A 27,760-nucleotide genomic window follows, 5' to 3' on the forward strand; every position below is an offset into this window, starting at 1 on the left:
ATGAAGTTACGTGTTGCCATGTGACTTCCTTTGGCCAGTGAAATGTGAGCAGAAGCCTAAATAGCCAGTGTGTGGCTTACCTCTTTCCTATGCCATTGCTGCAGTGTCTTGGGGAGCTCATGCCTACATGAAGCCTGACTTGCCCTGAATCCCCGAGCAACTAGGATGAGGAGAGCTCCATGCTGACCTGTGTTGAACATGTAATGTGAGCAAGAAATAAACCTTGGCTGTGTGAGCCACTGAGATTTGGGGATTGTTTATTATTATAGCAAAACCTAACCAATCCTGGCTCAATCTGTTCCCAGAGAACAAGTGTCCACTCAGGGTCAACAACAGTCCAGCCTCTTCTAAGTCTTCTCTAACCTGGATAGCCCCCAGTTTTTCCAGCTGAGCCTTCAGTTTGCTGACCTCTCACCTGATCTCTTCTTCCAGACACACTGCAGTGTGGAAAGGGAACACCATCACCCAGGAGCAATTTGTAAAATCTATTATCCCTTCCCCCTTCTCAGTATTCTTTATTTTTACTTTTATTTATTTATCTTTTTTGAGATGGAGTCTTGCTCTGTTGCCCAGGCTGGAGTGCAGCGGCGCGATCTCGGCTCACTGAAAGCTCTGCCTCCCAGTTCACGCCATTCTCCTGCCTTAGCCTCTTGAGTAGCTGGGACTACAGGCGCCTGCCACCACGCCCGGCTAATTTTTGTATTTTTAGTAGAGATGGGGTTTCACCGTGTTAGCCAGGATGGTCTTGATCTCCTGACCTTGTGATCTGCCCGCCTTGGTCTCCCAAAGTGCTGGGATTACAGGTGTGAGCCACTGCGCCCAGCCCTTTCTCAGTATTCTTTCTACCTCAGTGATGCAGCCAATGATTGCACTGAGCCTTCAGCAGGCAAACAAGGCTAACCCCATCCCTGGGTTCCGTTCTGGACCTGCCTGGTTCTAATTCTTTGGGCTCTGGATAAAATGAGGCTTCAATATGTAGAGGTAGATTGACCTAGTTCTGGGTTTCCTTCTGTCTTGACACTACTACTAACTTACCGGGTCACTATGGGCAATTTACCTAACCTCTCTGAGCCTGTCTTCTCAAATGAAGGCTAGAAGTAATAAGACCAACTTTGAGATGGCGGTAAGCATCAGGTACAGCACCCAGCACCTCCCTGGTGCCTGGTGGGCCTGTGCAGATGTTATTGCCTTTTATTTTTCCCTCACCCCCATCTCTTTCAGGCTCACAAGATGGAGAAAGGGGAAGGCATTTCTGGAATGAGGCCCCAGTCGGCTCCTGCACCATTGCTCTGTCCCAATCTCTGAGTTTTAGGCCAGCCAGAGGCCCTTCTAGCCCCCCTTCCAGGTCACAGCTGTCTGTTCTCCCTTCCCTTGTCACAGGGGCTGCCCCATGGGGCTGCGAGAGAGGGAGGGGGATTCCAGGCTGCAGATGTCCAGGACTCAGAGAAGTCTGCAGAGCTAATCCTGGGGCTGCTGGCGAGGCCAGGCCAGGGCCTTAGAAGTGGCTTTCAAGAGGTCCTCTCCTGCCTGCCGGCAGCGTGTGGCTCAGCTCGAATTTCCGAGGCCCCCAACTCAGGAACAGCTGCGTGGCTTCCCCTCTCCTCCCTCTGTTCCCTCCTTTCTTCCCCATACATGAGTCAAAGAGACAGCCAGGCAGGGCTAGCCAGGGGTCTGGACAGAATCCAGAAGTCTCCAGCCACTCAACCCTGGTCTCTCTGAAGCCTGGGGAGCTCAGACACCTGGGGTTTCTTGGGCCTTTCAACTCCAGACATATTCCTGCTGCTCTTCATTTGGCCAAAAACCTCTGGCCCAGCTTTGATGTTTGCCTTTTTGTCCACCCCTTGGTTCTCTGGCTGGGCAGGCTTCCTGGGACACCTTCTACCCAGTGTGGTGGGGCGGGACCTGCCTTGGGGTGGAGCCTCCTAGTTTGGTAGTACGCCCACCCACAAGCCTTCCCAGCCTCCTCCTTCCCCCAGGTCCCTAAATGTCCCTTCCAACTGCCTCCCAGAGCAACAACCTCTGACTCTCCTTTCCATGTCCCTATCAACATCTCCACACCCACCCCAGGGAAAGGCGAGAGAGAGAGTGTGTGTGTGTGTTACACGTGTAATGCTTGTTACATGAAAAGCTTGTTTGGTTATATCCTTAACTATCTTGCTGGGTTTTTTTTGACAAATAAGGAAACAAGAGCCAGACAGGGTGGGAAATTTGACTGGTTCACAGAAAGAGGAAATGGTAAAGCCAGGATTTAAACCCAGTTGTGATGATTCTGAGCCCATGCTCTTTCTTCACGCCACCATGTGGCCTGGAAAAGACCTGCCACACACCTGCCCAGGAGCATGCAGGGAGTGAGTGATTCACCCCCTGCCCCAGATACAAGCGGCCCATGACCAGGGACTCAGGCCACTTCCACAGAACACGCTTGGTCCAGAGTGACAGTGAGGAGAGAATGACTTGGCTGGTGCAGGAGACCCCCATGCTAGTTCCTCTTGGTGATGGGTCCCCAGGGTGAGGCATGAATCTGCTCCCGCTGGGCCTCCAGTCTCCCTCACAGTACAAGTTCATTTAGGTGCTGGGAGTGACCCTGGGGGAACAGATGGTGCTGCATGATCATACATGATCCTGAAACACAAGCCAGCTACTCCTTCTGGTGTCCACCAAAGAAACAGGGATCCAAGCCAAGCTGGGGGGAAAATCTGCCCTTGCAGGTTTACTGAGGGACTGTATGGGGAATTCTACTAGGTGTCTCCTAAGATACTTTTTTTTTGAGACAAGGTCTCTGTCTGTCACCCAGGCTGGAATGCAGTGGTGTGATCTCAGGTCACTGCAGCCTCAAACTACTGGGCTTAAGCAATCCACCCATTTCAGCCTCCTGAGTAGCTGGGACTACAGGTGGGTACCAACATGGCTGGCTAATTTTTGTATTTTTTGTGGAGTTGGGGTTTCAACATGTTTCCCAGGATGGTCTTGAACTCCTGAGCCCAAGCATCATGCCCACCTCGGCCTCCCACAGTGCTGGGATGACAGGCCTGAGCAGCCGGCCCAAAGATACCTTCAGGGGAAAGACTGACTCTACACAGTCCCAACCTTGGGATGATAAACTAACCCCAAACATGGAGTAGTAGGTGGCCCCTTACTCCCAGCAAGTCCTTCTCTAATGGTGAGATTCCAGGACAGGGGAGAAGTCTAGGGAGAGAGACTGGGGACATGCGGCCTTCCGGGACCTCAGTCTCACACCACCGGGTCCTGGGCTCCCTGTTGTCTCTTATCAATCTAGGTTTCCAGCGTGGTGCAGTGAAGGAGTGTGTGACCCAGGCCCCAGCCGCACTCTGCAATGACACCATGGGCAAGTCCCTTAAACCCGCTCCAGACCTCAGTTTCCTCATCTGTCAGCTGAGACTACTGGACAAATGACCAGATGAAGTTCTAGAGCCCTGGAGGACTCTGTCTGGGCTGGAGACAGCTCAAGACCCTGCCCAGGAAGCAGAATGGCTTCTAGTGCTGGCTACATCTGGCCTGAGGCTGCTTGCTTATGGTTTGGGACTGGTTACCAGATCTGCTTCCAGGGATGGTGTCATCGCCTCATTTTATAGGTGAGAAAAACCCCTTTGTTTCCCGAGGGTCCTGTGCAGCCTTCCCTGCCCCTCCAGCTCCTACTACCTCTACCTTCTGTCTGTCCCTCTGTTCTGAAGCTCCTGTGTTCTGTCCTTGTCCTACTCAGGCCTGCTCTTCTCTGAGGCCACAGGCTCAGGGCTCTGCAGGCCTCTTCATCATGTCCCAGGAGCCCCAACCCTCAAACAACTGCCCATTTCCCTTTCCTCTGTGTCAAAACTCCATGTTTCGGCCTGCAATTGTCACAGGCCCAATGGACCTTTCACACCAGCTGGCTGAGCTTGAACAGGTCACTTGAGCCCAGAGCCTGGACACGTGTGAAACAAAGACTGCAATAATCTCACAGTGACTGGAGCAGCTGTCTCACACTGGGTGCTTACTGAGACAGGCTGGACACCATGTCCTCACCATCAGCCCATGAAATGAGAGCCATCTCTCTCCCATGTCGAGCTTGAGAATGTGCCTGCCTGACAGAGGTGTAGGACTGCCTCAGCAAGGGCATAGTATACAATAGGTGCTTAATAAATGGGGACAATTGTGTTAAGATTTGTGGAACCCCAGGGGCAGTGGCTCAGCATCAGGTGGTTTAAAAACCCTCTGCCAGGTCAAGGCTGGCCTGGAATTGAAGGAGGATAGCAGAGGAGGGTGTTTGGTGGGCCCTGCAGTGGGAAGCTAGAGGTGGCCAAGGCTGGGGAGGTGGGCGGTGCAGGTACCCTGCGCCTACTGCATTAGCCCCATTTTTAAAAATTGAGATCACATTACAAATAATTAGCCATTTGATGAGTGGCATTTAGTATATTGACACTGCTGTCAACCTCTGTGCAACCTCTATTTAGTTCCAAAACGTTTTTCACCACCTGAAAAGGAAACCGCAGAGGCATTAAGCAGTCACTCCCCATTCTCCTGTCCCCACAGCCCCTGGCCATTGCTCAATCTGTTTTCTATCTCTATGGATTTACCTGTTCTAGGTGTTTCATACACATGGAATCACACACTACATGACTTCTTGAGTCCGGCTTCTTACACGTAGCGTCGCATTTTCAAGGTTCCTCCTTGTAGCCCAGGTCAGTACTTCATTCCTTTTTATGGCTGAATAACATGTCATTGTATGGACAGACCACATCTTGTTTGTCCATTCATCCACTGATGGACATTTGGGCTGTTCCATCGTGGGCTCCTTTTTGAAGTGAAAGTCATTGAAAGCCTGGAGTAAGTCCTGCTATCACCACTCACCCCTTGGGAGGAGGCACAGCCCCATCCAGAGTCCTCTTCCCATAAAGTGTCCTCTCCTGGCAGCTTCTGTGGCTGCCATGGTGCTCACTGGAGCAGCTGCTGGACAGGGAAGTGGAGAGCACTTACAAGTTGCTTTGCTTTTATTCAGATCTCATGGACAAGGACAGTGGGAGAAGAGGATGGGAAGAGAACAGGAAGGTGGAGGGAGAGGGATGGGGTGAGGATGATCTCCCACAGAAGCTTCTGGAAACTCCTGGCTAGTGACTGGAGTCCAACAAGGCACAAAGCCTAGTTGTGCTCAAGTCTCACTGAAGCCTACCTGAGCTTCATCAACTGGACAGGGCTTGGCTTTTCCAGGTGGGGAAACTGAGTCCCAGGGAGCAGCAGTGGCTTCCCAAACTGCAGCTGAGTCGGGGATGAAACCTGGAAATTTAGTTGTTCAGTGTGGGTTTACTCTGCCTTCCAGCACAGGGCATGGTGTAAGCTTGGAGGGACCACCCTACCTCCCTAGTGGGCTCAGTCCACAGCCGGGGAAGTGTACGAGTGTCAGCTCCTCCCATTAGATAGGTGATAGAGTCAGCAAGGGATCTGGAGCCATGAGTTCCAGCCACCACCTGCTCCTCCTGCAAGCATCTTCTGCCCTCGTGCCTTCCTCTCCTCACCTATAAACACATTTATTCCCTGATAGGTGGCTGGAGGGCCCAAATGAGACCATACCTGTGAAAGGGTTGGTAGGTTGTAAAGTCAAACACACTAACTCTTTTGGCTCATCATGGCCCAGACAGGCAAGGTCCAGCTGTCTTCTTTTCCTGGAGGGAGATTTGCTCTGTCCCAAAGGGATATTTGCCTCACCCACCTCTGGGCCTGGCTTCAAGCCCCTTTGGCCAGTAACACACTTGAACAAAACCCTTGCTCCTAGCCCCACCCCAGCCCCAGGGAAAGGACTGTACCTGATCAGCATTAATCTGCCCTTGTCTCGCCAGACTCAGGCTTAGTTAAGTCCATCCCTGGCCAGTAGCTCTGTCTCCGTAAAATGAACACAATATTTCCCCCTGCTCCCTCCCACCCATGGCTGCGCCTTCCCAACAGGCTGGGCGGTGAGCCATTGACTGGGCCTCCCATCCTCAGCTACCAGAGGCTGCTCCCCGGCCTTAGCCACCTCTAGGTCATGAGTGAGAGGTCGAGGGTCCACACATCTGGATCACAGGCCTAGGCTCTTGTGGAATGTCAATGTTAGGGTCCCCTCCTCACTCCCTTCCTTGCACACGTTTTTTGCACTCCTGAATGTCATATACTATTCTAGGCACATGGAGAAATAAAAGTCTCTGCCCTCCTGGAGCTTCTATTCTAGTGAGGGGAAACAAATATGAAATTTATACAGGAAGGAAATTGTACAGAATGTTAGAAGGTGATAAGTGCTATTTAAAGACAAAGAGAAAAGGCACTGCAGTAAGGGGGGTCAGGAGTGCAGTGGGGGCAGAGGGGAAGCGGCAGCAGCGCAGTTTGGAAGAGGGAGATCTGGACAGGTGTTCCTGAGAGGGCAACAGCTGAGGCGAACACCAGACGTCCCCCTACCAGAGGATTGACGTTTTTAGAGTGCTGGCGTCGCACACTAGTTTTCACTTTTTCCAGGGTCAGGAAGACACAGAGTTACGGGTGTAGCTATTCTGCGTCATGTTGGGAGGTGTCTTTCTCCCCTATGGGCTGTTCTCCTGGAGTTCAGGGAGGCTGTGTGGCCTAAAAGGGGTCTGTGTGGCGGGCACCTGTAGTCCCAGCTACTCGGGAGGCTGAAGCAGGAGAATGGTGTGAACCCGGGAGGCGGAGCTTGTGGTGAGCCGAGGTCGTGCCACTGCACTCCAGCCTGGGGACAGAGCGAGACGCCGTCTCAAAAAAAAAAAAAAAAAGTCCACTAGGAAAAAGAGATTTTTCCTTAACTATATGGAGCTTCTCTAGGAAAAGAGAAAGACCCTCTGAAATAAATCTTAGAAACTAGGTTTCAGTGCTAGCCCAACTGGTTGCCAGTTGTATGCCACTGGGTAAGTTACTTTACCACCTCGAAACCTCAGTTTCTTCATCTGCAAAATGGGAATGAAAAACCGCTTTTCTGAAACTTCTCCAGTTGAGTAAAATTCTATGTGAAATTGCTTTGTAACCTAAAAAAATACCAACGTAAAATAGATTTATCTATAAATTGTATATGCCTTGTTGTGTGAGCCAGGCAGGCAACTTGGAAGGTGGAGACAGGAATGGGGGCATGTCTTCTCTGTTGTCTTCTTCCCCGACTTCCTTTGGGTCAGGGAATCCCATGCTCCATGGGATGTGAAGTGATCGAGCGGGGACCCTACTGCCTCCAGGGGAGGGCTTAATGGAGTCACACAGGAAGTAAGATGCTGCTGTACAGTGGGCTAGCTCTTATCGTCTTGGGGTCCAGCAGGAAGTGATTCTTACCAGCAACTGCCCTCACCATGAACTGTCCAGGGATAAGAAGATGCAACCAGTGAGGGGGAGAACAGCAATGCAAGACAAAAAGGCTGCCTCAAAGAGAGGCAGAGAGCTGCAGAATCATCCAGCACTACCCTGCCCTGCTCAGGGCTAACACCAGCATTTTGCAGAGGGCACTAGAAGGAAATCTATACTGGATGAGAACGTCCCTGAGCAAGGTTAGAGCTGCTCTGGACAATCTCAGGGCTGGGAGTCCTATTCAAGAAGAGGACCAGCTCTCTTCTGGCCAATGTAAAACCATGCAGTGAGCTCTTTAAGCCTCCTTAAAGATGGACACTCTGCAATTATCAAAATTATACCTCTGGTAGGTACAGGTTGACAGCTCTGAGCCACTACTAGTTTGAGTGCCTCTCAACTAGCAGTCTTAATGACAGCATTCTGGAGCTGGGCAGTAGCCCTGAGGCTTTGGGGACCAGAACCTCATCTTTATGGTCCAAAATGGCCCACTGTGTGTCTGCATCAAAACAGCAGGGTACTGTGGGGCAAACCACAGTCCCTGTCACGGGGCAAGGAAAGGAGCCCCTACTCTGGTCACTCTATTTGTCACTCCCTGGACCCTCATACTTCTTTCTTTGCCTTTCTGTCTGCCCTGTGCCCCAGGAGGCTCACTCCTGCAGGCTAAGTCTCTCTGACTCTTTGCCATTGGTTTTTGGTTAACCAATGGGAGGTACCATGGAACTCTGGACGGTGGGAGGAGAGAAGCTGGGGGTGTTTCCACCCAGCGTCTTGCAGCTGCATGATCTCCAGGGTTGCTGTTCACTTGGGTGACTCCTCTTTCATGGCTCCAGCTCTTAAAAAGTCGGGGACATTTCCTCTCCTAACCCCTTCAGCCTAGGGGTGCTAAAGTCTTCCCACTGTTGCTAGTTTCTGGGAGCCTCTCCATTCCCCATATTGTCCCTTAACCTGCCACCTCTGTCAGTATTGCTTTATAGTGTCTTCATGGGAGCCATCTGGAGTGATTCTGTTTCTGCAGAGAACCTGATGAGTGCAGCCCCCAAGGGGAAATTATGTACACACATCTGGTTCAGATGGAATAGTCCTGACTCCTGGAGCCTATGTTCTGACTCGTCATTATCAACCTTTCCTCTTCTCTCTTTGCAGAATTCTGCCCTCTCCAACTATTTTTTTCTTCTAGATGTGCTGTGCATCACCAGAGTCTTGGCCTGAGCATGCAGTTGCAATTTAACATCTTCCAACAAATGCAAAATGACTGTCTCAGTGGCTGAATGAATTGGCTGAGAGTGGAGGACCTGAAGGGATGAAGCTGCCTTTGGGGCCAGGTGGCTGGCTGCGGTGGCTCACGCCTGTAATCCTAGCACTTTGAGAGGCAAAGGCAGGGGATTGCTTGAGCTCAGCTGTTCAAGACCAGCCTGGGCAACATGATGAAACCCGTCTTAAAAGAAAGATAGAAAGAAAGAAAGAAAGAGAGAGAGAGAAGAAAAGAAAGAAAGAAAGAAAGAAAGAGAAAGAAAGAAAGAAAGAAAGAAAGAAAGAAAGAAAGAAAGAATAAAAGAAGGAAATTAGCTGGGCATGGTGGCATGTGCCTGTAGTCCCGGCTACTCAGGAGGCTAAAATGGGAGGATTGCTTGAGCCCAGAGGATCAAGGCTGCAGTGAATCAAGATCACGCCACTGTACTCCAGCCTGGGCAACAGAGCAAGACCCTGTCTCAAAACAAAGAAACAAAAGAAACCAAACAACTTAGGGACCTTAGAGTCACCGTTGACATCCTTCATGCAGGACTCACATGATCCTTCATGTAGGAGTCATGTATGTGAGCAGCCTCCCTGGAAGACAGCCAGCCAATTGTTGTTTGCATACTTTCAGCGATGGAGAGCTCAGTACATCTTTAAGCAGTTCATTCTATTACTAAATGCCTTAGTCTAATTATAAATTACAGTCAAAATCTGTGTTCCTCTAATTTCTCTTCATAGGACACAGCTGTGAACTTCATACACAGCTGTGAACTTCATACGTGACAGTCCTTCAAAGACTCAGTGATTGTGTCCTCCTGAGTCATCTTTTTCTCTAGGCATCTCATGTCTTGCCCCGTCTCCATGTGGCTTCCAGGTGATCCCCTTTCCTTCTTCCCTTCTAATCTTGGTAGGAACCCTTTACAGCAGGGGTCCCCACACCCTGGCCGAGGACTGGTCTGTGGCCTGTTAGGAATGGGGCTGCACAGCAGGAGGTGAGTAGCAGGCAAGTGAGCGGAGCTTCATCTGTGTCTACAGCCGCTCCCCATCCCTCTGATTACTGCCTGAGCTCCACCTCCTGTCAGATCAGTGACAGCATTAGATTCTCATAGGAGCATGAACCCTATTGTGAACTGTGCATTCAAGGGATCTAGGTTGCCGGCTCCTTATGAGAATCTTACTAATGCCTAATGATCTGAGGTGGAACAGTTTCATCCTGAAACCACCCCTAAATCCCACTTGATCATGGCATATTATCTTTTTGATTCATTGTTAGATTCAGCTTGGTAGTATTTTGTTGAAAATGTTTTCATCTATGTTCATTAGGAATACCGCCTGTAGTGTTTTTTTGTGTGTGTGTGTGTCCTTGTCTTGTTTGGGTATCAGGGTAATGCTGGCCTTATAGACTGAGTTGGGAAGAATTCCCTCCTCTTTAATTTTTGGGAAAAGTTTGAGAAAAATTGTTTTTTTTGTTTGTTTGTTTGCTTGTTTTGGTATTTGCAGAACTTTAATTGCCAAGGCAGAATACATTCCAATAAATGAAAAAAAATGGATAAACAAATAGACACATTAGAGAATTTCTAAGGTTCAATTAACATGTGAGAATTTCTTAACCTCTCAACCATCAGGAAAATGGATATTACAACCACAACAAAGCCACAAGTCATTGGATCAAGAAACGTTAAAAAGTCTCACAATCCTAAATGTTGGCAAAGACGCTGACCATCAGAAGCACTGGGAAAAGCCCTTTACAAAGCTCTCAAGCAGCATTCACTAATGCCAAATATCCCAGTGGACAGTGGTTCCAATCCCAGCAAAGAAATGCTCAGGCTCAATTCAAATGAGAGGCAGGTACATTCACAGCAGAGCCACCTGTGATGGCCGCACAGTGAAGACAGCAAATGCCCACCTGCAGCAGAGTGGGTGAAGGGCGGTGCATTTGCTGCAGAAAGTTATCAGTGGTGTAGACCAGCCACTCCAGGCCCACTGGGATCTGTAGGACTTTGCAGGCACAGGCCCCTTACCAACCCAGTGGTTACCTGGGGTCTGAATAGTTTTCATTCACAGAGATATCCTCCTCTTGGTACTGAAACCCTGAGTCTTTTTTGTCCATAGAGCCCTGCCCTTCTTTGTACTGAGACATCATCGTGAAGACTGACGTCTAGAGGTGGGAGCACCTCCGTGAAGTGAGGGAATAACTGAGTGTCTGTCAAGAAGTCGGAGGCATAGGGGCTCTGAGGCCACAAGGGGCCTGGGGCTGGGGCTGGGAGTGATCCTGGGCGTGGGCCTAGAACTGGGACTGGGCCTGGGAGTGAGCCTAGGCTTGGCATCCAACCAGAGCTTAAGATGGGGCCCGGGTCTGGGATTCTCTCATGCCTGGGATCTCAGCACTTTGGGAAGCTGAGGCAAGTGGATCACCTGAGGTCAGGAGTTTGAGATCAGCCTGGCCAACATGGTGAAACCCCATCTCTACTAAAAATACAAAAATTAGTCGGGCGTGGTGGTGGGTGTCCATAATCCAGCTACTTGGGAGGCTGAGGGAGGAGAATTGCTTGAACCTGCGAGGTGGAGGTTGCAGTGAACTGAGGTTGCACCATTGCACTCCAGGCTGCGCAGCAGAGCGAGACTCTGTCTCAAAAAAAAAAAAAAAAAAAAAAAACAGGAAAGTCTGTTCTTGTTCCGTGCATGTTTTCCTAATGGACTGTTTGGTTATTTCTCATTTTTGAACTCCAGATATTTGTGAAGTCAGCCCTTTTCCTGTGATCTGAGTTACAAATATTTGTCCAGTGTGAATTGCCTTTTGATTTTTCTTATGGTGCTTCATGCCATGTAGATTTTTTTGAATTTGTGTAGTCAGATTTAGTAATGAATTTATTTTATGGTTTTTAGATATTGAGTCATGGTTAGAGGGACTCCAATCACCCCACCCACTTCAAGGTTAGAATGGAATTCTCTCACATATTCTTCCAATACTTTTATGTTTTCTAACCAACTTTCATGAGATATAATTTACATATAACAAAAGGCATCTATTTAAAGGATACAAGTTGATGAGGCTTGACAGATGTACATCCTCATGACATCATGATTTTTCTTTAAGTATTAAATCATAATGCATTTGGAATTTATATCACTGTCTACTTTGAGAAAAGGACTAAATTTTATTTATTTATTTATTTATTTAAGACAGAGTTTCACTCTTGTCACCCAAGCTGTATGTAGTGCAGTGACGTGATCTTGGCTCACTGCAACCTATGCCTCCCGGGTTCAAGTGATTCTTCTGACTCAGCCTCCCGAGTAGCTGGGATTACAGGCACCCGCCACCACACCCTGCTTAATTTTTGTGTTTTTAATAGAGATGGGGTTTCACCCTGTTGGCCATGCTGGTCTCAAACTCCTGACCTCAGGTGATCTGCCCACCTTGGCCTCCCAAAGTTCTGGGATTACAGGCATGAGTCATCGCGCCCGGCGTATTTTATTCTTTCAGTTTTCAGATGATTGGCCAGGTGTCTGAACACCCTGCATTGAGATGTTTCCTTTGTCCCATTCTCTATTTCTGTATGGATTTCTGTCTACATCTGGACTTCCTCTTCTATTTGTCTGTCCATATATACACGTTTACTACACAGTTTTAATAATTGAAGCTTTGTAACTGAATTACCTTTAATAAATGGTACCAGCTCCAATACCAATTATAGCAGAAAACATGGTCCCCTGTATTAGGTATTTGAGAGCAAGATGGATGTTCTGGATGCTCGAGCTGAGTTTCTTTCCCTATGCCAGGCCTCCTTTTTACTCTTAGAGAAAGGTACCCCATTTTATAGATACAGAAAGTGAGGTGAGATCAAGGAAGGTCAGTCCCCAACTGTGCCAGCTCTGAATTTTGTAGGGTTTAGGAGCACCCAGCCTCAAATGCCCATTTGTGGATGAGAAAACTGGTTCTGGGTGGAGATAGAGACATGTGGAAAAGACAGATCTGATGATGCATTATCACTCAACCACTCACTCATTCATCACTTCACCCCAGCACAGACTGACCGTGTGCTAAGGCCAAGCCCTGCACTGGGGCAGAGAAGGGGCTGCTCCGTCCCCTGGGATCTCACGGTGGGCTGGAGGGAAAGGCGAGGAAGCACTGAGGGACAGGAGGATGTGACTGTGGTGGGAATAGAGGGAGGAACGGGGCTGTGGGCGCCCACAGTGGGGCCTCATGGTCTTAGCCTGGGCCCCCCTTCCAATGCTGAAAGTAGGGCAGGTGCCCAGGACTTTGCAGCAGGAGGACTATTTCGAAAAGTGAATCCAGGGAGCAGAGTGAGGGTCTGGGAAAGTAACGGAGGAGAAAAAAGCTAAGGGTATACTGTAGAGATGACCACATTGAAGGCAACTGAGGCTTAACACAGTGTGATCTCTAGGACAGCATCTAGAAAGTGCATCACGGCCAGGTGTGGTGGCTCATGCCTGTAATTCCAGCACCTTGGGAGGCTGAGGCAGGCAGATTACCTGAGATCAGGAGTCTGAGACCAGCCTGACCAATATGGTGAAACCGCATCTCTACTAAAAATACAAAAATTAGCTGGGCGTGGTAACTAGTGCCTGTAATCCCAGCTACTCGGGAGGCTGAGGTGGGAGAATTGCTTGAACCCGGGAGGTGGAGGTGGCAGTGAGCCCAGATCGTGCCCCTGCACTCCAGCCTTGGTGACAGAGAGAGACTCTGTCTTAAGAAAAAAAAAGAAAGAAAAAGAAAGAAGGAAAGAAAGTGCATCAGACTGTGCATGTCTCTCTCTCAGTGAAAAAGGGAGAAGCATTTAACTCCAGGTTCCTGTCTCCATTGGTTGAGGGCTGTCCTGTGGGAACAGGGCAGGAATCCACCCGGGGTGTGTGGATCTGGTGACAGCCAGCACGCATGGACTGTTTGCCAGAGCTGTGGCTGGAATCTGGAGCCAGGTGAGAACAGATGAGGCTGGACAAAGGGTCTCAGCCTGGTTCCCAGGTATGGGACTTGACGGCCACCTAGCTGGCCAGGATGGGAAATGCAGCAGGGACCAGGACAGCGAGGGAGGCTGCTCTGGGTCCCCACCCCACAGAGGAGGCAAACCTGTGACAGGGCAGCCCTTTCCCCTGGAAGTCCCTGCTTCAGGGACAGACCCAGAGGCTCCACACAGCAACCCAGCCACAAGGGAGGCCTACGTGTCCCCATGTGATGGGCTTTCAAGGCCCCAAGGAGGTCACGGCTTGGAGTGCAAGAACTCCTCCCAACTGCTGTGCCGCCCCCCCTCCACCTCCTGCCGGCTCACTGCTTTGTTCCCTGCTTTCTCTTTCTCTGCTTCTCTCTGCTTCTCTCTGCCTCCCTCTTTGTCCTTCCTTTCTCTCTTTCTGTGACCCTGTCTTCAACAACTCTTTCCCTTCCTCTATTGTGCTGTTTGTCTGTGATTCTCTCCAGCCTCCTCTCCCTGTCTCAGTCCTCTCCATCTCTCTTGTTTCCTCTGTCTTCATTCCTCTCTTCTCTTTTACTCTCTGCCTTCCTCTCGGTATGTGGATCACTGGCCAGCTCTCTGGACACCTCCCTCCCTCCAGCTCCCTTGGTTCTCACTGTGGGTCCTTCTGTCTTTGTCTCTTCCAGCTTTCCTTTTCTCCCCCTGGGCCCAAATCAACTTCTCTCCATGACTCCATCCTCCCATCTCCATCTCTCTCTCTCTCCCCTCACCCTCCACCTTCTCTCTCTCTCCCTTCTCTCTTTCTCTCACTGTTTCAACCCCTCTCTCTCTATCCTCCCTGTCTTTCTCCTTCTCTTTGTCCTTCCCCTCCCTCTCTCATCCCTTCTCTCTCATCTTCTCTCTGCCTGTCCCGTCCTCTGACTGACCTCACCCCTGCGTTCTTCACTCCTCTCCAGTCCAGCTCAGTTAGCCTCTCACCACCGATCTCTGCCTATCACACAATTTAAAAATTACAGGAAGATGGTGGGGGGCACAGGACTTATGGAGAAATGTCTACACCCAGCTCAGCTTCCCTTAGAGCCGCCTGGAGTTGGTGCTACCGGGGGGCAGCTGGCTCAGTGGGGCATGGGCTCTGACAAACCCTGAGTCTCTGCGAGGCTCCTTAAGGGCTCCACAGCCGCTGCTGGGCCCTTCTATTCCCTGTCAGAAGTTGGCCACCTCATGGGGATGTATTACTGTCTATCTGCTCACAAGGCACCACTGGCAGTCACTAGGAACACAGTGACTCTTTCTAGAATGAATGAGCACAACCTCCACCCGTGGCTGGATACAGGATATTCCCCCACCCCAGAAGTCCCCCTCGGGCCCTTACCAGTCAACACTACCCAAAGGGTAACCCTGCTTCTGTGTCCAGCAAGGCAGTATCTGCCTGAGTTTGAATAGTGTACGAGGAGTCACACCTGGTATACCCTGGGGTGTGAACTGGTCCTCCAGGAAGCAGACACCCAGAAAGATAGGACTGCAAATGTTTCTAAAGGGAAACACTGGAAATGAGAGAGAGAGGAGGGAGCACGGGGCATGGAGCATCAAATATGGTGGAGACTTTTCCAAGATATCATGGCCCAGGAGACTCTTCAAATTTCAAAATTATCCTGTAAGGTAAAAAGATTTCGGTTTATTTCCAGGTGACCTTCTTTTGCCCAATATACATTTTGTCTTCTATGAAATATCTGTGCCCCTGCTGAATACTTCTGTGTGTGGCCATATCTGTGTCTGTATGTCATGGAGAATAATTATCCACAGATCACAGATACAAATCTCAGAGTTTAACTGTGTATGCATTTTTAGGATCTCTTCATCTCGTAAGGATCTGAATTCTAATCTTGGAGACAGGGGCTTTCCCTTATCTTTTGAAAGAGAAACTGGAAATCCCAGAGCCTGAGCTGCTACACCCTAAGGTTTATTAAATGAACTTCAATGAACACCTTTTGCTGATCTTCTGAGTGGAAATATTTTCATTTAACCAGCGGGAGGGGTGAGGCTCTACCATCTACCAGCTATTTTGCAAGATGCCTTCCTTATGAGCTTGGTCTCCCTGTCCTCACCATGACCTCATAATCGCATCATTCCCAGCTCATTTCTGAGAAAGCTGGGGCTCTGAGCTCTACTGAGAGTTGGTGTCTGGGCTTAGGCAGCAAAGACACAGGGAAGGGGAAGCATTTTGCCTGCCAAGGTTGGGAGATGCAAAGCTGAGAGTTGTAGGTGGGAAGGAGAGGGTGCAGGAGATCAGAGTAGGTCACAGCAGCTCAGGATTGGCCTTGAGTTTCCAGCCAGAGTTGGCCTCATTCTGAAGGCCAAGGCCGCAGCTCCACTGAACCAGACCCATCCTCATTGTTAGTCTCCTTAGGCCGTGAAAACTCAGGGAGACAGGTTCCCCTGACAGAACCAAGTTAAAATTTTCAGACCTCTAGGCATTCATTCACCCCGATCTAGAGCCTTCATGCACCCAGGGAAAGAATCATCTTCCTACCAATAATGGACTAAAGGCTGTAGGGCAACAAGGAAGTGCTGGGGTGGTAATTTCCTGTGCACAATGTGGTATCTGAGCTCCCATGGCAGCTCTGTGTGGCCCTCACCGCAGCCTCCATGCTCCTGCTCACGCTGCTTGCCTGGCTAGGAGCAGCCTTCCAGCTCTACCTGAGTTCAACAACCCCCCATGTCACACCTCCCTGCTTCAGCTTTCTCTTCCACGGCCTCCTGTTTACTCCCAGGAGATTCTGTCTCCTCCTTCTGCACCCTGTGTCCCTTCACTTGTGTTTCCATTGGGCTGGTCAGAAGCTCTGTGCCCTTCAGTGTGGGTCTCTCTGCTGCAGCACACAGGATGCCCTGCCAGTCAGGGATGGGTCTCATCCCTCACAGAGCTGGCCATATGGCCCAGGTTCCACACAAGCCTGCAAAGCTTGTATTTCTAGCTTCTATAAACAATCTCTGGCTGGGCACAGTGGCTCACACTTGTAATCTTGGCACTCTGGGAGGCCAAAGTGGGCAGATGGCATGGCTCCAGGAGCTTGAGGCCAGCCTGAGCAACATGGTGAAACATGGTCTCTACAAAAAGTAAAACAAAAAAACATTAGCCAAGCATGGTGTTGCACACCTGTAGTCCCAGCCACTCTGGAGGCTGAGGTGGAAGGATCACCTGGGCCCTAGAGGCGGAGGTTGCAGTGAGCCAGGAGTGCACCCCTGCACCCCAGCCTGGGTGACAGAGTGAGACTCTGTCCCCCACCAAAATAAAATAAAAAAAAAAACTCTTTCCTTATCTACAGAAGATACCTGCTGCCAAAGTCATAATGAGAAAATAATGCAACTGATTTGTAGTCTCAGAAACTTGAGCAAAGTGACCACATCCTCAGCCAGTGCTACCCTCATATTGCAAAGCCTTGCAGTACAATCTGTGACATTTCTATTCATTCAAAAAAGGAAAGATGAGTCCATTTTGCAACTTAGTTCATACTGTTCAGATAAACATACCAAGTGGTACATGTGGAGTTGGTGGTTGAGGTCTTACAGGCCACAATGGGTAGAGGAGCTGGTTGAGGTCCCAGAGGAGTTGGTTCAGATAGCAGAGGCCAGGCAAGTGGAGGAGGTGGCAGATGTACTAGAAGAGACCCTGGTGGAGGAGGTGGCTGAAGTCCCAGGGACCACAAGTGGAGATTATTGAAGTAGCTGAGGAGATTCATGTGAAGGTGGTAGTTGAGGGGCCAGAGGCCACCCAGGTAGAAGGGGTGGCTGAGGATCCAGAGATTACTAAGTGGAGATGTAGTCGGAGGTCCCAGAGGCCTCACAGAACAAAAAGGTGAATGATGTCCCAGAGGAAAGGCAGCTATAAAAGATGGATGAGGTCCCGGAGGACAGAAACATGCAGAAGATGGATAAGGTCCGGGAGGACAAGGAGCTGCAGGAGGTGGATGAGGTCCCAGAGGACCAACAGCTGCAGGAGGTGGATGAGATCCCAGAGGACCTACTGGTGCAGGAGATGGATGAGGTCCGAGAGGACCACCAGCTGCAGGAGGTGGATGAGGTCCCAGAAGACCTACAGTTGCAGAAGGTGGATAAGGCCCCAGAGGACCAACAGCTTCAGGAGGTGGATGAGGTCCCAGAAGACCTACAGTTGCAGGAGGTGGATGAGGTCCCAGAGAACCTACCACTGCAGGAAGTGGATGAGGTCCCAGAGGACCAACAGATGCAGGAGGTGGATGAGGTCCCAGAGGACTGACAGCTGCAGGTAGATGAGGTCCGGGAGGACTGACAGCTACAGGAGGTGGATGAGGTCCTGGAGAACTGACAGCTGCAGGTGGATGATGTCCGGGAGGACTGACAGCTGCAGGAGGTGGATGAGGTCCCAGAGGACTGACAGCTGCAGGTCGATGAGGTCCCGGAGGACTGACAGCTGCAGGAGGTGGATGAGGTCCTGGAGGACTGACAGCTGCAGGTAGATGAGGTCCGGGAGGACTGCCAGCTGCAGGAGGTGGATGAGGTCCCAGAGGACTGACAGCTGCAGGTGGATGAGGTCCCGGAGGACTGACAGCTGCAGGAGGTGGATGAGGTCCCAGAGGACTGACAGCTGCAGGTGGATGAGGTCCCGGAGGACTGACAGCTGTAGGAGGTGGATGAGGTCCCGGAGGACTGACAGCTGCAGGTAGATGAGGTCCGGGAGGACTGCCAGTTGCAGGAGGTGGATGAGGTCCCGGAGGACTGACAGCTGCAGGTAGATGAGGTCCGGGAGGACTGATAGCTACAGGAGGTGGATGAGGTCCTGGAGGTCTGACAGCTGCAGGTGGATGATGTCCGGGAGGACTGACAGCTGCAGGAGGTGGATGAGGTCCTGGAGGACTGACAGCTGCAGGAGGTGGATGAGGTCCTGGAGGACTGACAGCGGCAGGTAGATGAGGTCCGGGAGAACTGCCAGCTGCAGGAGGTGGATGAGGTCCCAGAGGACTGACAGCTGCAGGTGGATGAGGTCTCAGAGGACTGACAGCTGCAGGAGGTGGATGAGGTCCCGGAGGACTGACAGCTGCAGGTAGATGAGATCCGGGAGGACTGCCAGTTGCAGGAGGTGGATGAGGTCCCAGAGGACTGACAGCTGCAGGTTGATGAGGTCTGAGAGGACTGACAGCTGCAGGTGGATGAGGTCTGAGAGGACTGACAGCTGCAGGAGCTGGATGAGGCCCTGGAGAACAATCGAGTGGAGGAGGTGGTTAAGTTTTCAGGGGACTCTCCAGTGCAAGAGGTGCTTGAGTTCCCAGAGGACACTCCAGTGGAGGAGTTTGTTGAGGTCCCAGAAAACCTTCAGATGGAGGGAGTGTTTGAGTTCCCAGACAACACCCGGTAGAGGAGGCGGCTGGCAGCCCATCAATGGTCCTGAAGGGCCAGCCATGAGATCGGGCAAGTAGGGCCATTCTGAGAAAGGATGAGCTTCCCTGCAGCCACATTGACCTACAAGTCAGGAGGAGAAAATGTTTTGAAATATATGAATATGATGGACAAAAACACCAAAACCAACACAAGCTGCACCTTATGCCTCGGGTGATAGTCCCTTGCACCTTTCCCTCCTCCAGGTTTCAAAATGGCAGCATGAATGCCATAAAGTCTCCCTTCAACTGAGTCCTGCCAACAGCAGGGGAGTGAAGAAAAGTCGTGGGGACAAACTGCTATCCCCACACGCCACTCTGTCTGCAAATGTACGCAGGCTGGGGGCCTGTCCCTGGGAAGACAGAGTCATAACCCAGTAATAAAGAAGCATGTTTCTGACACAGGGGTGTCTATGTCTATCCTAATTCCTCCCTCACCATCATCACCGGAGCATGTTCCTTGCATCAGATAAACAGAGAGAAACAGAAGCATGAAAAGCCCATTGTCCACACATGAGTCACAGCTACTCTTAAGAGAATGGCCTCCAGGCTTTTCATGTGCTGTCTCTGATTCTCAGAAATCTACAAGGTCAGTGTGACCACCCTGCTCCAAATCTAAGAAAATAGAGGCTCCAGAGGAAGGAGAAATTTCACCTAGCATCACACAGCTTGCAAGAAGCAGAGTGGAAGTCGATTCCAGCTCTGCCTGCAAGACCCTCTCGTCCCCCTTCTGCTTCCCTTCTTGACAAACGGTCTTCTCTACTTTGGAAGCGCCATCCATGGGCACAAAGAGCTCTGGGGAGATGGGGATTCCTGAAGAGCTGCAGGGGAACTGGGAGAGGGTTTTCTGACGGAATAATCTTACATAGAGATATCAGTTTGGCATGGTTATCACATTTCTTTAACTTCTAGGTAATACCAAATTTTAAGTGCACTATGACATAAAGAATAATTTTGTCCATGGAAAAATGAGGTGGGAATTCTCAACAACAGAAGTTTTAAAAATATGTTTGATTTCAAGTGTACAAGTCCCATCGTGTGTGATCAGAGGATTCAGCAGCTGTCGAAGACACAGAGGCCACACGAGAACCAGCTTAATTGAGCATCATTTAAGGCCTTCATTGAGAATTGTCCCTGTAGGTAATGAGTGACGTTCACTCTCCACTACCTCACAGCCAGGGCACATTTTCTATTAAAATATGGAACCTCTGACACTTAGAATATTAGATCAAGGGCAACACTGGGTGAGGGTGGGGGCGTTTTTGCTCAACACAGTTAACAACAGAGATGGGACTGTGATGAATTATGGAATTGACTTTGCCAAAGAACATTCAAAATTGCACAAAGCACATATTAATGTTGGATCAATGAGTTTTCACTTCTGGGATTACGGCGGATATTCTGAAGGTTAATCACTTACCTTATAGCAGAAAAGAAAATCACAGCAAAAAAAAAAAGGAAACCCCACATATTTTGGAAAGGGGATCCCACACCATCTTGAGTAAAAGGGATCAGTCAGGGTCTACTGGGCCATAAGACCTACCTCAGTGGAGTTCAATGGCATCCTCTCATGTTATTTCTGGAAACAGAACAGTGACAGCCCTGCAGCCCTTGGCCCTTAAGCATTTATGGCTTCTGGAGGTGCCACCAAAGATGACCAGCTGGAAATGGAGAAGCCTGAAAGCTCATGGGGAAGATTTTGCTTTCAAAAAAGTCCAGTTAGAAAAGGCACCACAGAACCCAGAGAGCAGAGGACAGGCCAGGAGAGGGCGCTGTAGGAAAAGACAAAACTGTCCTGAACTAGGCAGAGGGAAAATGACTCCAGCATTTACCTTTGTCTTCTCTGTTTTCTGGCTATGTCTTCTGATTCTTTAAGAAAAGAAGAAATATTGATCCATGAAGACATAGCCAGAAAATTTCTGCTCTCATCAGCACTTATGGCTCCCATTCTAAAATGTTACTAGTGTTACTTTTCTCAAATAATAATAAAAAAAATAAAGCCTTCCCACTGACTCAAGGTTGGAAGGGGAGCTGACCCATTTGCCTTCTAGGCTCATCCCCTCAGTTAAAAGTAACCAAGACATCAGGGTGGAATGATGTCCACAGTCAGTGGAGGGGCCTGTGCTCCGCTATTCACAGGGGACCAGCCAAGAGTCATTCAGCTGTGGCACGTGAGAAAAACGGTCCTGCCACCCAGCGGGATAACTGTTCTCTTTAGTAAGTGCTTGGAACTGTTTCCAGGAAACATAACAATAACCCAACCCAAGCCCTCACCCCAGAAAGGAGAAGCAGGGGTGTGGATTGTGGAGCAGAAGTTAAGCGGGTGCCTTCCCAGAGAGCTCCTACCTCTCCAGAAAGGGTTCTCTAGCCCTAGCTGTCCCTGGGCTGCCTCCTGACTCATGTGTCTCTCCAGCACTCCCTGCTTTTCCATCATTTCCTGTCTTGAAGACAGTGAAAGAGTTGACTTGTAGAAGAATTAAAACACTGTTTTCTTTACTAGACAGTCAAAGCTTCATCTTAAAACAAAAACATCCTTAAAATTTGTCCATCACAATCACCTACCTGTGCTGCTTGCAGGCAGCCTTCCTCTCTGCCATCTCCCTCTGCAAGGCTTGAGCACAGAGCTGTGGGGAGAAAAATACATCCATGTCCCGACTTGGCCGAAAAGCAAGGGAAAAATGAACAAACTTACCCAGTTGTTGAGGCCTTTCTTGCAGCAGAAGGGGCGATCTGAAAAAGCCAACACATGAGAAAATGTATGTTGACAGATTCTAGGGGCAGTGGCATCATCTTGATGAGCGTTTAAGGATCCTGCAACTGCAGGAAGGAAGGCTCCTTACCTCTCATCTGTAGGAGTCCTCTACCCACTGCTGCAGCTCTTGTCTGTCTTGAATCGTTTTTCTATGGTTTAGAATCACTTTCATCAGACACAGCATCATCTTTAGTATGATTTTAAATAATCTGCCATGTTCCTGTTGTCCTCACAATTGTACCCTTACACAATCTATCTATACATAGAAAATGTATTTCACATGGCTATAAAAGTACAGTATGATCAAAACTGTTGCTGTAATGCTTCCTCCTCTTTTACTTAATGCCTGCTGGGTTCTGAGTTGACAATTTCCTTACCCATTTTCAGTATGTCCCTAATTCATGCTTCATTGGGCATCTTTTATCATAAAGCTCTATTCTCCTGGAATTAATATCCTTGCCATATTTCACAGGGCAGAAACAGCTGAGCTTATAAATAGGCACAGTCCTTTTGAAGGATGGGTTGATCCTACAACAACACACTTTCCTAAGGATGATGACAACTCGCATCACCCCTAGAACGGCTGGTATGAACCGAGTTTCCACACAGTCTGGCTGGCATTGCAGTCAGGAGATGTTTGGCTACTTCACATGTTTTGAACACTAGTAAATCTTAAGGTACTTGTGTTCTCTGGTGTGAATTGTCTCTCTCTCTAGGTATCGCTTCTGACCATTTGTTTCCATTTCTGTGTTAACTGGGTCTAAACATTGTACAAAGATTTAAAACAAAACACTCCACCAGCGCTTCCCCAAGAGGCTGGTGTCGGTTTCCGAACCCACTTGCAGATGGGTATTTTTTCTAGAGCCAATTTCATGGTTTCTTCCACCTCTGACAGCCGCCTCCCCTTTTCTTCTCGTTCACGTTCTTTCATTCTCAGCTTCCTGAGTCGAGAAGGGAGAGAAATGCATGCACGTGATCCACTGGCCTGTGTGGGATTCCTTGCGGCATCTGAAGGCCGTGATTCAAAGGTCCCCTGACAACCTTCCCATAAATGAACCAACTGATCCTCACAACTGGAGGGAGAATTAACACCTTCCATGGGACAAAGAAAAAGCACATTCTGGCCTGCTGGCAAGTCACCTGTCGTTTCCAGCTCATCTTCATCGCTCTGTATTCCTACTCTTTAGTAAATATGAACTATTAAAAGCTTCTATGAGATGCGCTATGTGTGCTTCTGGGGTCAGTCTTTTGCCTGACATAGCGAAAGCTCATTTTAGTTCAGTGTAGAAAACCAGACCTCACCAGCTCATCACAACTAAACCCATAAGGACGGAGCAGAGGATCACTCCTCGTCTGACTCCTCCCACAGGGAAACCTGATTCTCCATCAGAGGCTGATGCCAGAACCCAGACAATCAGCCTCAGAGAGATCCTTCCAGGACATGCTGTCATTAGCCCTGCGGTTCACTACTGCACATGTCCATGATTCAGGACTGGAACTCTTCTCATCGACTTTAAAGATCCTGGTTGAGAGAAAAGGCCAATCTGAGTGCTGGGTGCATCTACTGAATTGGAAATGATCCAATGGCTCTTTAGTCAGGGTGTTATGTCCTGAAAATAGGTGACAACTGCAAACCATCCTCTGGTGTCCAGAGACTTTAACAAGGTTTGTTTCACACAGACTGAGGGCAGAAAAAAGGAAATGGCCTAAAAAGGTGGGTTTGCTGTGTTGCCTCACACTACTTGATTCATGGTTCTGATTCTAAAAATCTCACTTGATACTTGATTTCATATGAAAGACGTGTAAAATGCCTGGGTAGAGGCGGCGGCGGCGGCGGCGGCGGCGGGCTCGGAGGCAGCGGTTGGGCTCGCGGCGAGCGGACGGGGTCGAGTCAGTGCCGTTTGCGCCAGTTGGAATCGAAGCCTCTTAAAATGGCAGATGATTTGGACTTCGAGACAGGAGATGCAGGGGCCTCAGCCACCTTCCCAATGCAGTGCTCAGCATTACGTAAGAATGGCTTTGTGGTGCTCAAAGGCTGGCCATGTAAGATCGTGGAGATGTCTGCTTCGAAGACTGGCAAGCACGGCCACGCCAAGGTCCATCTGGTTGGTATTGACATCTTTACTGGGAAGAAATATGAAGATATCTGCCCGTCAACTCATAATATGGATGTCCCCAACATCAAAAGGAATGACTTCCAGCTGATTGGCATCCAGGATGGGTACCTATCACTGCTCCAGGACAGCGGGGAGGTACCAGAGGACCTTCGTCTCCCTGAGGGAGACCTTGGCAAGGAGATTGAGCAGAAGTACGACTGTGGAGAAGAGATCCTGATCACGGTGCTGTCTGCCATGACAGAGGAGGCAGCTGTTGCAATCAAGGCCATGGCAAAATAACTGGCTCCCAAGGTGGCAGTGGTGGCAGCAGTGATCCTCCGAACCTGCAGAGGCCCCCTCCCCCAGCCTGGCCTGGCTCTGGCCTGGTCCTAGGTTGGACTCCTCCTACACAATTTATTTGACGTTTTATTTTGGTTTTCCCCACCCCCTCAATCTGTCAGGGAGCCCCTGCCCTTCACCTAGCTCCCTTGGCCAGGAGCGAGCGAAGCCATGGCCTTGGTGAAGCTGCCCTCCTCTTCTCCCCTCACACTACAGCCCTGGTGGGGGAGAAGGGGGTGGGTGCTGCTTGTGGTTTAGTCTTTTTTTTTTTTTTAAATTCAATCTGGAATCAGAAAGCGGTGGATTCTGGCAAATGGTCCTTGTGCCCTCCCCACTCATCCTTGGTCTGGTCCCCTGTTGCCCATAGCCCTTTACCCTGAGCACCACCCAACAGACTGGGGACCAGCCCCCTCGCCTGCCTGTGTCTCTCCCCAAACCCCTTTAGATGGGGAGGGAAGAAGAGGAGAGGGGAGGGGACCTGCCCCCTCCTCAGGCATCTGGGAAGGGCCTGCCCCCATGGGCTTTACCCTTCCCTGCGGGCTCTCTCCCCGACACATTTGTTAAAATCAAACCTGAATAAAACTACAAGTTTAATATGAAAAAAAAAAAAAAAGAAAGAAAGACGTGTAAAATGCCAAGAACTCTAGGAAACAGGGACAAAAACACTTCAAAGAGAAAGTTCATGCACTTGTTTCTGACCACCCAGGGCACCCTTCAGCACACGCTGTCTGGAGTGGCCTGAAGCAAGGAGTGTCTTGTGAGGTGCAGAGGATGCAATGGGAGCAGGGTCCTGTCCCCACCCTAAAGGAGTTCACAGTTTAACGCAAATGAGAAGCCAGTGAGGACATCACTACTCCTGCTGTGAACTTGGGAACTAGAAACACAAAACCTGAGTCTGGAGGGAAGCTAAGGAAGCATTCTGCTCTGGAGTAGACATGAGTGCGTGTGAAGCTTCTGATCTCCCATGAGAGCAATGGGGACATGGGGCAGAATCTAAAACCCATGACTGAAAGCACCAAATTGCTAAAATGGCAATAAAGAGACATGAGGCCAAGATGGAGAAGAAGGAACCCAGGACGAGGGTCAGCCTCACATTTGGGGCTCATTTCCCTCAGTTTCCTCACTGAATTTCAGAAGGGACTAACTGAGATGCAAAGAAGCAGAGCAGCTTTTGCACCATGTGGAGGACTAGATGGAAAACAAGTAGACTGAGGGTCTGCTAGTGAAGGTGACCCCTACTGAAGTCCACTGGCTTTGGTTGGGACCCAGAAGAGTCACACGCCAGGAATAGAGGTGGACAGGAAACACCCTGACTTTTGTAGGGACTGAACCTCACTGATAACCTCAATTGCGGATGGTATGGAGGGTGTCTAGGTGTGCTAGGACCCCTGCCCATTCCCCAGAAATAGACTCCCATCTTTTCTACAGCAAGATAACGTGCTAGTAGGCCTCAATTCATTGCTAAATATTTTTAACGAGTGTCTTACATTTAGCCAAAAAGACTAGTCATGTGGCAGGAAAAATACAATGTCATATGACCAAAAGCTAAAAGACTGTGAAAATGAATCCAGAGGTGACCCAAGCATTGAATTTAACAATGCCAGTACCTGGACCTCCGCTTGCCCCTAAAACATTACAATCAAGAATGTAGGAAGGGAAAGGAAACACGAAGATTAATCAAGCAGGAAGGACAAGCTCAGTTTTGCACCCACTGAATTTGCCACAAATATTGTGGAAAATATTCTCGGGGACATTGCAGTTGTCTACTTTGGTTGGCACATGGTTCATACAACAGTGTTTGTGTCAGTGAACATCTTACTCTTCCTCGGCAGTCTTTCTTTGCCCAGAGATTTCGCAATGACTGTTGACCTTCATCATCACCTTTTGGACTTTGGCTTGCACTTTAGCTTCTGTAGATCTCCATGATGTAAAGAAGTATTTTAGGTCCATTTTAATTCCTGCAAAGGATAAAATCCTTCTATTTGTGTGCATATAAGTGGACCTGAGCCCTTGGTTAGGGTGTAGAGAGGAGAAGGGGAGAAACCTGAGGGCCAGAAGCTGTTCTTTCCCTTAAAAGGGCAAACTCATTTCCACACTATGGGGACTCTGACAGATAGCATACCTTCCTGTCTATGGCTATTGGACCTGCAGGCTTTCCCCTGTAAATCCGTGTTCTGTCATTGACATTTTGTGACTGTAAGACAGACTTGAGATAAGACATCTAGAAAACAATAATTGAACAATGATGTGAATATATTTCACACAACTGAACTGTACATTTCAACAAGGTTAAGATGGTAATTATCACGTTATACATTTTTTACCGCAGGTTAAAATGTTTCACAGGTTGAAAGGAAAGCAACTACCTTCAGTTCTCTGAGTTCAAGAATTTGTAACATTTCACCCCCTGCTCCTTCCTGATCTTCTGTGGAGCATCTTTTTTCCATCCATGCTCTACTCAGAGCCCACTTTCCCTTCCCTGACACCAGCTTCACTGAGGCTGGTTGGAACCTAACACAAAACATTCTCAGTAATGACTGAATTCCCACAAAGAATTCCATATAGACTGCATATGAGTTGAATCTTCTAAGACATGAAATATTTGTTCTCTTCTTGGCTAATATGCAATGCAAATCCTGTTGCAGATGTACGTCATATACCTCTGAAATTCCTGATGTATTCAATGAAATAACATCTTTAAAGTTCTGTGTAGAATGTTTTTTTTCTGATTTCTTCACATACGATAGAAAAAAAAACCCAAAAAAACATGTACTAGGATTTCAATAGAAGCAATGGGTGATCTAAAAAGATGAAAGAGCAACCGCATGCGCCCTACAGCTACCGCTAGATTTTATGGGGAAAGCAGCTGGCCCAGTTTGCAGCTAGGAGAAATGTCAAACACATGAAGAAATGAGAAGCAAAGAAAAACCATGAGGCATGAACATTTCATGGCAATCACGATGTCCTGGTTTGTGAGATAATGGGATAGAGGAGTAGAAAACAAGGAGAAAGATGAGAAGGTACAAAGTGGTTCAAGTCAAACAGCTCAACTGAACTTTTCTTAATGGAATATTTAAAAAGTGGTACATTAAAAAACTTCCCCCAGTTCACATCAAAAATTCTCTCTTCAGGACTAAGTTGGGTAGAGACTGTTCAATGTGCCTAGATATCTTCAGAACTTATATATTTTCTGTTTTCTACGTATGTTGAAGGGCAGTGCCAAATGATGTGTAATTATCTAGGTTGTAAAAATAAAACATACTCCCCCTTCCCTTGAGGATAAAAAAGCATTGTGGTATTAGCACTTTTTTCTTGGATCATTGTTCAGAAGATGTTTAAGCCCCTAGACACCCAAACTTTTACTGTCATGAACAGCAAGAGAAAACGTAGAGCTCGATTTACTCAATGGACAAAAATGCTCAAAAGCCAAATTATGGCACAATTTAGCAGCCACATTCTTAACCAGTACAGACTTTTGACATACCGATCCCTCTCCAGTGGCAACCGAGAATGTGTACTTTGAATGATGCCATTTGAAATGACCACTCATTACTCTGCCCAGACACACTTTTCATTGATTCTTCGGAGGGCAGTTCCAAGAGATTCTCTGGGGCTTTCTCTGCATCATGAGACACAGTGCAGTTCTGCCCTTGACCTTCCTGCAGTTTGTCGCCTCTTCCTCATGATCTCAGAGGA

General features: G+C 49.0%; 1 protein-coding gene, 1 long non-coding RNA gene and 1 pseudogene across 3 annotated transcripts, besides 3 other annotated features; 1 reads left to right on the top strand and 2 right to left on the bottom strand.

Moving 5' to 3' along the window:
* Positions 1,367–1,426: an enhancer, noted in NCBI's record as "active region_3647". NCBI's record gives its function as "activates an Ori minimal core promoter by ATAC-STARR-seq in GM12878 lymphoblastoid cells {active_cell/tissue: GM12878}" and the evidence as "EXISTENCE:reporter gene assay evidence [ECO:0000049][PMID:35858748]".
* Positions 1,991–2,491: a transcriptional cis regulatory region, noted in NCBI's record as "chr10:81250836-81251336 region (GRCh37/hg19 assembly coordinates) targeted for CRISPR interference". NCBI's record gives its function as "positively regulates PPIF gene expression in BJAB lymphoma cells {active_cell/tissue: BJAB}" and the evidence as "EXISTENCE:mutant phenotype evidence [ECO:0000015][PMID:33828297]".
* Positions 9,002–9,202: a silencer, noted in NCBI's record as "fragment chr10:81257847-81258047 (GRCh37/hg19 assembly coordinates)". NCBI's record gives its function as "represses an EF-1alpha promoter that drives an FKBP-Casp9 reporter gene in an ReSE screen in phorbol 12-myristate 13-acetate-treated (for megakaryocytic differentiation) K562 erythroleukemia cells {active_cell/tissue: K562(+PMA)}" and the evidence as "EXISTENCE:reporter gene assay evidence [ECO:0000049][PMID:32094911]".
* TPRX1P1 (tetrapeptide repeat homeobox 1 pseudogene 1) lies at positions 9,999–10,923 on the bottom strand (annotated as a pseudogene).
* On the bottom strand, positions 17,281–21,893 carry LOC729815 (uncharacterized). 2 transcript variants are annotated; one of them, NR_136624.1, is made up of 3 exons: positions 21,718–21,893; positions 21,440–21,501; positions 17,281–18,696 (listed from the first exon to the last, which is right to left on the bottom strand). It is a non-coding gene; the product is annotated as an uncharacterized LOC729815 (long non-coding RNA). The 2 variants fall into 2 exon arrangements; NR_136625.1 differs by lacking the exon at positions 21,440–21,501 and adding an exon at positions 21,570–21,607 and having other exon boundaries at positions 18,514–18,962.
* Positions 21,894–23,443: 1,550 nt separating this feature from the next.
* On the top strand, positions 23,444–27,351 carry EIF5AL1 (eukaryotic translation initiation factor 5A like 1). The gene has a single exon (NM_001099692.2). The coding sequence runs from the start codon at positions 23,561–23,563 to the stop codon at positions 24,023–24,025; it is 465 nt and encodes a 154-aa protein (NP_001093162.1). The 5' UTR covers positions 23,444–23,560; the 3' UTR covers positions 24,026–27,351.
* Positions 27,352–27,760: the final 409 nt, after the last annotated feature.

The sequence above is a fragment of the Homo sapiens genome, chromosome 10, assembly GCF_000001405.40.
Source record: "Homo sapiens chromosome 10, GRCh38.p14 Primary Assembly".
NCBI classification, from domain to species: Eukaryota; Metazoa; Chordata; class Mammalia; order Primates; family Hominidae; genus Homo; species Homo sapiens.